Below are 12,655 nucleotides of genomic sequence, written 5' to 3' on the forward strand. Positions count from 1 at the left end.
AGAGAGGACACGAACATGGGAAGGTGAAATGGGGATGAGTTAGAAGAAGCATTTCCTATTATTGTACATTTACATATACAAAGGCAGATATGTGGTCCAGGTTAGATTGGGTGCCCAGAAAGCAGGAAGTTGACTCTGTAAATTGCCATGGCGATACCAGAAAATTTTAACATATTAGAGAAGGCAAAATGGACATGTATGACCTTCAATGTACTTGTCAAGCTGGCTGCTTAGTGCCCCTCTATTTTAAAACCCTGAGTTTAGTCTGCCAATATCATCTTATTTATTTACCACTCTAAATTTGGGATCTGTTTTCTCAATGGATTCCAATACAGCCAGATGAAAGCTTGTATTTTAGTCTCTTTTTAAAAGAGTTTCAATTTATAGATGGAAGAATTGAAGAGATCCTCAGTGAGAAGCATACTGGATTTATGTCAGATACAAGGAAGAACTTTTTGGTACTTGAATGGATTTTGGAGAGAAATTGTGCATCAAAGCCTTCCTTTGTTTGAGAGATCTGTGTAGCTTTTCAAAAACAAGAGAAAGAGGGGAGAGCATAAGTGCAGTAGAATGAAGTGATCTCTCACTATTCCTTCTAGCCCAAGATTTCTTTGATCTGAGAATGAGGAGCATCTTTGATAGTGATTCTAATGGAACTAAAAAGTCGTATATTATTATCCCACAGATTTTAGCTATTTCACCTTGATGGAGTGATGAATGATTCACATTAGAACAGATGATTCACAGACTTCACAAGGCAGAAATTTTAGCGCCTGTCAAATCAGAGAAATGGTCCAGGATAAAAAGGGAAAGAGGACACAGTTAGGTCCTGTTAATGCAGGGGTTTGGCTAATGCTTACTTTCTTCTGTTTGTTTATGTGTCTATCCACACTCTTCAGGTATAAGTCTACCTACCTATCGATCGAGCAGGTATTTGTTAAGCAGTTTCTGAGTGCTAGCCCTGGAGATATTTGCATCTGAGGGGTAAATAAATAACATCCCTCTCTTCCTTTTCAGGTTCCTGAACCAACTGAGAAAGAGAGATGCTTAAGATCAAATGTGAACCTTAATACTAAGAAGGCTAATTGAAAAACTGATTTCAGTTCTACAACTAAATGGGCTTACTAACACTTCTCTGGCAACAGATAGACATTTCCACCTTGTCATTGACATAGATGGGCAGCAATACTCACCTCTTTGGCAGAGGGAGAATCATACCCCACAGTGAAATAATGAATCGGCTATTGCCCATTTCTGTGGCCTGATTGATGAGGGAGAGAAAAGATCAATAAGAGGCTGAGTTGATCATGTTTAGTTTCCTCTCTGAAATCCACAATTTGGTAGAGGTAGACATAGAGACAGATTATAAATGATTGCTTCCTCTCTTGGGTGATAAAGTGGAAATTATCTTCTCTCTGTAAGAACATAAGAAGTGGGGGAAAATTGTCCAGGGAAAAGTCCTGGAAGTGTGAATTATTGTAACAATGAGTAGTTTGATGTCCTTGGAGCATAGGATGTGGCCTGGGAAGAGACCCATGCATTAATATCATTATTAATTCCATGCATTAATATCATTATTAATTCTATGCATTAATGTTATTAATTCCATGAATGTGGCAGGTATTTTTTTAACATTTATTGTAGGCTCAGCTGTCTACTGGGTGTTCTGAGAAAATACAAGGAAGCTATAGTAATGCAGTGTATACATACATTCTTTCCTGCATATTAGGAACCTATAGTCTAATTGGGGATGTAAGCTTTCACGCATGAAAAGACAGGTAAATGTAGAAGACAATTTCTTATGAGTTTCAGTGAGTCATGCAGACAGTACTGGAGGAGTTCACAGGTGGAAGGGGATGCAGGGAATGAGAGTTATGGAGAGGAACTAGGAGATCAGGAAAGTCTTTCTGGGGGAGTGAAGATTTGACTGGACTTTAAAAAATGGGTAAAAGAAGGCAGGATTTCTAGTAGGGAATCTTAGAAACACAAGGACACAAAGAACATGCATGGACCATTTGAGGGATGGTGAAGAAATCACCCCAACTGGAATAAATGTGTTGGGTAGTGGGAGATGAGTCTAGGAAGGTGGTTTGGAGTTATATTTTGAAGGATCTTGTTGGGTGAAGTAAGGATCCATGGACTTGCTCTTTGGAGCAGGAGAGAGTAATTAAAATATTTTAAGCAGCAGAATGATGTCATCAGATTCAGTCACTTAGAGAGATAATTTTGATAATATCAATGTAAGAAGATACCTTGAAGAGGGACAGATGGAAAAAAGATGAGACAAATTAGAAGCCCATTGCTATCTTCGGTAAAAAAGATTAGGCCTAGGATAGTGGAAATGGGAAGTCCAAAGGAGAGATGTAAGAAGCTTTTTCTTTTCTTTTCTTTTCTTTTCTTTTTTTTTGACAGCAATCAATGGGAAACTCTATGCCAACCTTAGGGGTCTTACCATGTACCAAGGAGAACGAGTGGCCTGGTACATGCTGGCCATGGGCCAAGATGTGGATCTACACACCATCCACTTTCATGCAGAGAGCTTCCTCTATCGGGTGAGCTGGAAAATGGGCTGAGTCCCTCAAGGATGATTAGAACAGTGGTTTAACAGCAATTGAGAAAAAAGGTAACAGTGTGGAACAGGTAACAATTAGTTAAAGAGCAGAGGTCTAGTACATGGAGCACTGAGCTGGAAATTCTAGTCTGGCTGTATATCCTAGACTCAATAACTTCCCGCTAGGCCCTAGCTTTCCCTTCTGATGTGGAAGACAAAAAAGGCCCATTTATCAGTAAGGAGACTGAAGGAATCAATATCAAGTCTCAGTCAAGGACTTGAGACTCAATGAGCAGTGATTTTTAAGAACAAGGAATTTCAGAGTGGCATCTCAGAATTGCTGAAAGTCCTTAATCTATTATAAGAAGAGCTTCAACTTAGGGGGTACATGGAACAATATGTAGATTTTGAAAACAGTTTAGTCTTAGGTAAAGGAGGAAGAGTTGGGGGCATTGATACAGACTTCGAGATTTAGAAGTGCTGAAAAAGACAATGGCAAAGATAACTTTATTTGAATCAATTTCTAAAGGAAATATATGCCTCATTCATAGGGGTCAAAGCTTAAGCCAAATTCCCCATATTTTAGCCTGCTGAAAATTATAAAGATACTTGTTTTGAACCTTCTAAAGTAACCTAGAAATTCTTTTTCTTTGGGACATTTTAAGAGGAGAAAGTCACCTCTGTTGATTTAGCTTCGGTGGGTGGGTTCATTGGAGATATGAATAAAGTGGACTTTTTTTTTTTTTTTGAGATGGAGTCTCACTCTGTCATCCAGGCTGGAGTGCAGTGGTGTGATCTCAGTTCACTGCAAGCTACGGCTTCTGGGTTCACACCATTCTTCTGCCTCAGCCTCCCGAGTAGCTGGGACTACAAGCGCCTGCTACCATGCCCGGCAATTTTTTTTATTTTTTTTATTTTTTATTTTTTTTAGTAGAGACGGGGTTTCATCATGTTAGCCAGGATGGTCTTGGTAAAGTGGACTTTTAAAACCACTCACTGGTCTAGGAACCTTGAAGTCTCAGCTCCCTAATGTGGACATCACAATTTTTTGGTTCCTGAAAGCTCTAAGATGATTTTTATACCCTTCACTTCCTCTCCCTCATTCCCAATCTCTCTTGCAGAATGGCGAGAACTACCGGGCAGATGTGGTGGATCTGTTCCCAGGGACTTTTGAGGTTGTGGAGATGGTGGCCAGCAACCCTGGGACATGGCTGATGCACTGCCATGTGACTGACCATGTCCATGCTGGCATGGAGACCCTCTTCACTGTTTTTTCTCGAACAGGTAAGTCCTAACTTCCCCAAAATGATCATCTTCTAACACTTTATCTAGCCTATAGGAAGCAGGTAATACCAAAAAGCCTCTTGATTGTCTCCTTCTGATCCCACAATAAGCAGGTCTTAAGGCAGAGCATAGCCTCCCTCTAGGTATTGCCCCAACCAGTATTTCTAATCCTCCATTGCACCTGTCCCTCCATTGCCCCAACTGATATTTCTAATCCCCTGACACCTGTCCCTCTCCAAATTACTTCAAAACCTGTTGAGCTCACATGAATTGACCCAGCCTGAAACCGGTTTGGCTCTATGCATTGAAGCCTAGTGCAGGCCTGCTTCTTTTGAAATAAATTTAACTTATATACAAATGTATTACTTGACTTCATTAGAGTAACTGATTATTTCAAGGAATATTGCTGATTAGTCTTTCTAAAAAGAGAATAAAAATAATTCTAATAGTCACCCATTAAATTGATTTGTTCTATGGGGTTGTGAAAGGCAATTCTTTCTTTTTTTCTTTTTTTTTTTCTTAGAGTAAAGGTCTTGATCTGTCACCCAGGCTGGAGTGCTGTGGTGCAATCATGGCTCATTGGAGCCTCAGACTCTTAGACTCAAGCAGTCCTCCCACATCAGCCTCCCAAGTAGCTGGGACTGCAGGAATGTGCCACCACATAAGGCTAATTTTTATACTTTTTGTAGAGAAGGGGGTCTACCTATGTTGCACAGGCTGGTTCTAAACTCTTGGCCTCCTTCTGCAGCAGCAATCCTCCCGCCTTGGTCTCCCAAAGTGCTGGGATTGCAGGCATAAGGCACTGAACCTGGCCTAGTTTTTATTTTTTAGGCAGGGTTTTGCCTAGGCTGGTTTCAAATTTCTGGGCTCAAACCATCCTTCCACATCAGCCTCCCAAATCGCTGGGATTACAGGAATGGGCCACCACATCTAGCAAGACAGTTCTTTTTGGTTTTTGAATATCTTCATCTAAGGCTAGAAAGAGAGATTGTCCTTCAGTTACAGCTTATCTGAGTTACTACCAAGGGTGGAAACAACTTTTTCTTTATATTTTATATGGAGAGGGAGCAGCTGGGACAATTTCTTTACCAGCCACTCTTTGTTCCTCACCAAAAAATGTAGATGGGTAGGCTGTGTTGGCTTTTGTGTCTTTGAGTAATTAAAGGGTCAAATGTCTTACTTCTTAAGGTTCTTGACCTGAGTCCAATCCCCAACACTATTTGCCTTCCAAGAAGCCCTGTAGAGCCTTTTGGGACCCATACAAATCAAGGCTGTGTTTTTTTTTTTTTTTTCTATGCTTTTAAAGAATATATAGCCACCATTTGAACAAAAATGGTTTTCTGGGGTTGTCAGTCATTGGCATTCTATCAACAAGAATAGTGAAGGGGAAAATGTCTTTGAATATTCGTACAGACTTAGCAAATGTGGGTGGAGAATACAACTCTTCTGTTTACCCTTAGAGAGAGAGATGAATGATTGCACATTATGACTTCCTATATAATTTAAAATATTTATTCTCTATCAACTAATACTGCTAGAATGCAGCTTCCACTTAACTACTCAGGAGCTATTCCCTAGCACCCAGATTTACAGAAACTTCTTTGTTGTGTTGTAAGTACATAGAACAAAAGTCAAGTGATCAATTGATACATCATCAGGTTGATATAGATCCAAGACAACAGGTTTTCTCTATATGTAGTAATGGGTTATCCCAAATATGAACCATCCAATATATGAGACCATTTCAATACATATTGCCAGGGTACTTCCATGAGGAAGGATAGCTCATATCTCTCTATGACAATGAGCCAGCCCATAAATCTTTTCTATTTGCCCTTTTGTTTTTTTATAACCCGCTATGGCCTAATTTCATATTGTTTCAACTCCATGTGTGTTAACAGGCCAACAGGAAGGAAGAGTTGAAAAGACAGAGGGAAAAGACTAATTTTTGGAACAAGGTTTCTGATAAGGCAGCAGGGAATGAGAATCAGAGCTAACATGAAAGATTAGTGCAAGAGTGGAGGAAAGTCATCTTTCTACTCTAAGAAGAAAGAAGACAGAAAATATAAGGATCAATGTGTAGGTTTGACCAGGGGGTTTGACAGACTGACAGATAATTTCAGCCTATGGTCTTTCTCTTCTCTCTGATGGAGCAAATAGAGTCATCTGCTGAGAATGAAAGGCAGGTTATAGGGTACAGGGCTTGAGAAAAGTGGATGAAAGTTTGAAATAGCCACTCTGGGGGATGGGAAATAAATAATTATCACCAGCCAGCATTGAGGGCTTAGTTGAAATTGGACACAAAGGATAATAATCTTTACAATTGTGTTATTTTCTCTAACAGCAATTAAGCATACCAGACAAAATACAGGGTAATTACAGTTACTGGAGTTTTGGTAGATTATTGCAACACTCTTGGTAGATTAGTAGTTGAAGTGATAGACCTTGGAGTCTCACTTGGTCAGGAATGGAAGAAAAGACAGGATGAAGCTACTAGGTTGAGGAAAAAAACTGAAGGTTTTGAAAGCTAGAGGTCTCATGGCAGGGGAGGATAACAGGTTTTTGAAATAAAGTGTATTAGAGCACTGAAAGGATGGGAGGTTGTTGTTAGATTTTAGATTTCTGAGATGTAACAATTCTTGATAACAAGGTTAATGTGACCATGGGAGTGGTTGGTAGAATTGGAGTAGACATCAAAGTTATTGGAGTTAAAAGGGCTAGAAACTGTGAGGCTTGAGTATTTGATGGGTCAGCACCCATGGTTGGAATTGAGGGAGAGGAAGACTGAGCCAGGTACTAAAGACTTCCATAAATGAAGAGAACTGCTAGCTAACAATAACAAGAAATGATTGTAGTTCTAGCCAAATAATATGAGCCTCAAAAGAGATATGTTTTTACAAAAAGAGGAGGAACAATGATCTCAAAGAAGTATTGAGATGATGTAAATGAAGTATGGTCCTCAGAGAAGAACTCAGCTTTATTAAATCAAGGAGAGGAAGAAGTGTTCTGAGAAGATGTTGAATGTGTAGAGAAGTAGGTTTCACAAGGAGCAGGGATTTCCTGAAGGAAGTGTGGCAAATGGTTGGAAATAGAGCAATAATGGGGATAGAGGAAGTGCCAAGAAATATTTAAATAATAGCAGAGGGGTGATTTACATTTTGGACTCCAAGCCTGTTCTCTTGCCCATATTTCATGTCACTGTTCAAAATCAAATCAACATACCAATATTGACTTGGACTATAAAGTAGTAAATTCTGCCTTTATTTTGCTTACTTAATCACAGAGAAATTTCTGCAACCAATGTTGACCTTTCATAGGGGGCCTATGGATTGGTAGGAAGAACAATAAGGCTAACCTCTTGTCTTTTTTCCCCCCAACCAGAACACTTAAGCCCTCTCACCGTCATCACCAAAGAGACTGAAAAAGGTACGTAAAATGATGCACAGACTGGGTACTTATACATAGTGTGTCTGTGTATGAGGTTGGGTGAAGTACCTTTAGGGTATGGGACTTATGTGACTGAGAGTTAGAATACATCAGCAGAAAGTATCCTGAGACTTCTGCAAGACTTCAGAAGCCAAAGAACCAAGGTTTAGCTTCCCTCAGCAGGTTTATTCTCTCTGGCTTCCACCTCAAACCTCCTGAGTTGGGGAAAACAGCCTCCTCCCCATTTAAAGGCTGCTGTCTTAGCCTCTCATCTAATGTGTGAGGGGGGAAGTAAATTCTAGATACTAGTCGAAAACCAAATACTGCATGTTCTCACTTATAAGTGGGAGTTAAGCTATGAATATGCAAAGGTATACAGAATGGCATAATGGACATTGGAGACTCAGAAGCAAGGAGAGTAGAAGGGCAGTGAGGAATAAAAAACTACCTATTAAGTACAACGTACACTACTTGGGTGATGGGTGCCCTAAAATCCCAGACTTTACCTCTACACAATTCATCCATGTAACCAAAAACCACTTGTACTCCTGAAGCTGTTGAAATATATATATATATATGTAAAATATATATATTAAATATATATATATATTAAATCTAGGTCCTGCTGGGTTGGACATGGAAAAGTTATAGCACAAATATGAATCCCCCCTAGGGACAGTATGAGACTAGTTCCAACACCATATGTTCTTCAACAGCTATTTTTATTCTTGCCTCTTTCCCTTTCATCTATGGAATACCAAGGAGTTAAACCTTTGGAACCAGCCATTTCTGACCTTGAATACTGTAGAGATTATTTTTCTGTGCAGCCCAGGTCCAAATAGTGTTGTTATTCTCCACCTCATTTGTCTCTGGACTAGGAAAGATCCAGAAAGGTATGAGAGCTAAAAGGAACATTAGAGATAATTAGTAGTTTAGTCTGAGGTTTTACAGCTGTTTGGAGAAGTCTTAATGATCTGCCTAAGTATCTCATGAACTGTTAACCAGGGGACCAGGATATGTCCTGGAGGGGATGGGGAAAGGTAAGGTGTGATTGTGTGGGTGGGCTTTCAGGCCATGTCTCTTTCAACCTGAGCAACTAAATTATTTTATATATATATTATATATATATATTTTTATATATATTTTAAATATTTAAATATTTTATATATTTTAAATATTATATATATATTTGTGTTCACACATACTTTGTGTGTATATTTGTATATATACATACATATTTTGTGTACATATATACATTCCTCATAAGCTCTCATTTGTTAAAAAGTTTCTACAATGGGGAAAAAAGCCTTTGAAACTGTTGTTCTAATAAAACTCAATAATTTTCTACATGAGAAGCTGAGAAATTGAAAATGATTTGTTCAATGTCACAAAAGGAGTATGTGGTAGAATGTAAACTCAGAACCAGAAAGTTTTGAGCTTCTATTTGAACTCATTATATTCTGTCTTCTCTCAGTTGTGTTAGAACATTAATTCAACCAGTTATGTTGAATTACATTGATTGATGTTGATGAACAATCATCAAACAAGTGTCAGGTACCAGGGATATCAAAATAAGTAAGACATAGCCGCTATTTTTCAGCGTCTATAAATGGAATGAGGCACAGAAATAATAATGCTGGATGCTGTGTGCTGTACAAAAAGGGCAAGCAATAATAACAGTTAACATGTATTGGGTACTTCCTGTCTGCTAGGTGCTATACTAGATATTTTATAAGTATTAATTCACTTAAATTTTACAATATGCCTCTGTGTTAGGTATGGTTGTTATTCTGATTTTATAAAAGAAGAAACTGAGGTTTAGATGGGAAGTGAGGGATTAGGTCTCTTGGCCCAAGGTCACACAATAAGTTAATTATGGGGGTACAAGGTACAGGCGCTTGGAAAACATAGAGGAAAGAACAATTGTCTAATGAAATCAAAGAAAACTTTGCAGAGACATGTAAAATTTAAGGTAGGGCTAGAAAGATAAGGAGTAAAGTGTGTTCAGACAAAGGGATTAGCATGAGCAAAGTCTTAGAAGCCTGAAAGGGGATCACTTTTTATGAGGAGGAAAGAATGTGTTGCTATGGCTGAAAACTAGTAGATAGGACTAGAAGGATAGATTAGAGCCTGATACTGAGAGTTGGAATGTCTGGTTTAAAAGTCTGAGCTTTTCTCTGTAGGCTAATTGGGAATCATCAAAAGTGTGTATGCCAAGAACTAACAATCAGATATTTCTCTTGGAAAGGTCTATGTGACATCAGCGTTAACATGACCCAAAGAGGTAAGACTGGACAGCCTAGTAGCAGGTTCTTGTCATGGTTTAATTGTCAAAATTGCTATTGATAAGCTGGATGACTGAGTCAAATTTCTTTCTGAAGTTTCCCTTATTGCCTCCAATTCTACCCTCTGAAGCCATACAGAACAAGTCAAATTCATCTTTTTTTTTTATATCACAGTCCTTTAGATATTTGAGAACATGTATCAAGGGCCTTCCCAATCTGAGTCTTAGCTCTTTCCATGAATGGACTGGGGCCTCAGTGATTCTCAAGGACCCTTATAGCTGTTACATCATGTTTTCTTGATTCTCTAACCTCTAAATCTGTCTTCATCAGCTAGTTTTGTGAAGGATAAGGACAGGCCTCCTGTCCTATTTGGATTGACTTGTTTTTTTCAGGTGATGACTATAGATAGTTACCTTTTAGAGTACTCCCCATCCCAGGATGCCCATTTTTTTTTTCTCCATTTCAGCAGTGCCCCCCAGAGACATTGAAGAAGGCAATGTGAAGATGCTGGGCATGCAGATCCCCATAAAGAATGTTGAGATGCTGGCCTCTGTTTTGGTTGCCATTAGTGTCACCCTTCTGCTCGTTGTTCTGGCTCTTGGTGGAGTGGTTTGGTACCAACATCGACAGAGAAAGCTACGACGCAATAGGAGGTCCATCCTGGATGACAGCTTCAAGCTTCTGTCTTTCAAACAGTAACATCTGGAGCCTGGAGATATCCTCAGGAAGCACATCTGTAGTGCACTCCCAGCAGGCCATGGACTAGTCACTAACCCCACACTCAAAGGGGCATGGGTGGTGGAGAAGCAGAAGGAGCAATCAAGCTTATCTGGATATTTCTTTCTTTATTTATTTTACATGGAAATAATATGATTTCACTTTTTCTTTAGTTTCTTTGCTCTACGTGGGCACCTGGCACTAAGGGAGTACCTTATTATCCTACATCGCAAATTTCAACAGCTACATTATATTTCCTTCTGACACTTGGAAGGTATTGAAATTTCTAGAAATGTATCCTTCTCACAAAGTAGAGACCAAGAGAAAAACTCATTGATTGGGTTTCTACTTCTTTCAAGGACTCAGGAAATTTCACTTTGAACTGAGGCCAAGTGAGCTGTTAAGATAACCCACACTTAAACTAAAGGCTAAGAATATAGGCTTGATGGGAAATTGAAGGTAGGCTGAGTATTGGGAATCCAAATTGAATTTTGATTCTCCTTGGCAGTGAACTACTTTGAAGAAGTGGTCAATGGGTTGTTGCTGCCATGAGCATGTACAACCTCTGGAGCTAGAAGCTCCTCAGGAAAGCCAGTTCTCCAAGTTCTTAACCTGTGGCACTGAAAGGAATGTTGAGTTACCTCTTCATGTTTTAGACAGCAAACCCTATCCATTAAAGTACTTGTTAGAACACTGAAAGACTGAATTTGGTGATTTTTGACAGTCTCTGTGGCTTCTGTCACTGTGATTGAAACAGAAAATACTTAGGGGGTGAGTGAGTATAGTATGTATTTGTCTAGCCTTTGTAGAACCTACAAGTTTTTGTTTTAGAGATGAGGAAGCTGTTCCAGAGGAAGCATCAAAGAGTGCTGGGTACCACCCTAGAAAAGGAGCTGTCGCATAAATGACAAAAATTTTCTGAGTGTCAAGAAAATTTGCCAGAGGGAAATAGAAGTCTGAGACGAGACTCAAACCTGTCCAGTGGGCCAGGGGAAGTAGGACCATATCTTATGGGGCCTTTTTGGCAGTGGTGGTGTGAAAGGTCTAGTTGCAACTTTGGGGGCTTCCTTATAGGATGGAGTCATTCTTTCTGGTATTTTACAGCAATATTCCTTTGTTACATGCAAATTTGAGCCAAATATTGGTTAGAGAGCACAGATAAGTGATAAATTTTAGATTGGGTAAGATGGCCCACCCCACTGCAATATCCATAATATTGTACCACATGGCAAGTGGAGAACAGAAGAGGTATCAAGGAGAGAAAAGATGATAACTATGTACTGTTTTACACTTTAAAAAGCATTTTAATTCTTGATTGCGTTTGGATTACCTCAGGGCAAGTCATTTTACATTTGAGTAATGTTATCCATTTATACATTTGAGTGAACAAAAGCTTATGGACATTAAGTAACTTCATCCAAGATCCCTCAGGTAGAAGTTGAGCAGGGATTCATGTATTCATCTGTTTGACTCCAAATACCTATTTCATCCTCATATATCATGGAAACATCCACTAATCTCCATCCACCTTACCCATATTGATTCCAACTTTTCTGTCTGTCCAGCAATCTGTCTGTCTAGGTAGCAATCTCTTGAAGATAAAATGTAGAAACTCACAGAGCTGGTGTTCAGTTACGATATAAGTTTGGAGGAGAAAACACAATCCAGAAGCTATGATTCCTCTTGTTTTTCCATGGTCAATGGGTTTCTGGAGAGCTTTACTGAGAATCTCAGAAATAAAGTGTGGGTGGAAGGGGGATTTAGATGGCTAGTTATCCAAGAGTTAGTGTTTAGGCCATTGCAGAATCAATGATTTAACAGCAGCAGAACTGTTTTGGCCTGCAGTTAACATGAATGTTAATGAAGACCAAGTACATGCTAGGAATTCCAGTCAATTAATGGTTATAATTTACATGCAACTAGGAGGTTCTTAGCTTGGTCTCAGTTATAACTCTAAGAGACTAGGAGAGGTAGATGAGATGGAATGCATTTCTTCTTATTTTGTAATCCTGCTCCAGGTCAAGGAATAGAAACTCAGAGCCCATGTATTTAAGAAAGAAATGTATTTTTGTGGTAAGTTTGCTCCAAGTAGGGATACAAGTATCTATTTTTGACAATCAAGTGACATTGCCATCTATTCAGTTGCTCAAGCTGGAAATTATCAGTGTCAACACATCAGTGAGTCTCGGTTTTATCTCCAAAATGTATTTATCCTATTCATTTGTTTCTATCTCCATTGCTATTCGTTTCCATCTCCATTGCTACCACCTAAGTTTAAAACACAACCATCTGACCCAAAGCAATCTATAGATTCAGTACAATCCCTATCAAAATACTAATGACATTCCTCACAGAAATTAAAAAAAAAATCCTAAAATTCATACAGAACCAC

General features: G+C 39.0%; 1 protein-coding gene across 26 annotated transcripts in view; it reads left to right on the forward strand.

Moving 5' to 3' along the window:
* Positions 1–12,436, forward strand: part of HEPH (hephaestin) — a 106,193-nt gene extending 93,757 nt beyond the window's left edge. For 9 of the 26 annotated variants that reach the window (NM_138737.6, NM_001367232.3, NM_001367233.3 and 6 more), the window contains 4 exons: positions 2,413–2,552; positions 3,673–3,835; positions 7,217–7,261; positions 10,013–10,962. In NM_138737.6, coding sequence (NP_620074.4) covers positions 2,413–2,552; positions 3,673–3,835; positions 7,217–7,261; positions 10,013–10,245 — 581 coding nt within the window. In that variant the 3' untranslated portion in view covers positions 10,246–10,962. Of the gene's footprint in view, positions 1–1,017; positions 1,779–2,412; positions 2,553–3,672; positions 3,836–7,216; positions 7,262–10,012 lie in introns of all 26 variants that reach the window. The other 17 variants (NR_159801.2, XM_047442695.1, XM_047442694.1 and 14 more) reach the window with 3 other exon arrangements.

Source organism: Homo sapiens, chromosome X (assembly GCF_000001405.40).
Source record: "Homo sapiens chromosome X, GRCh38.p14 Primary Assembly".
NCBI classification, from domain to species: Eukaryota; Metazoa; Chordata; class Mammalia; order Primates; family Hominidae; genus Homo; species Homo sapiens.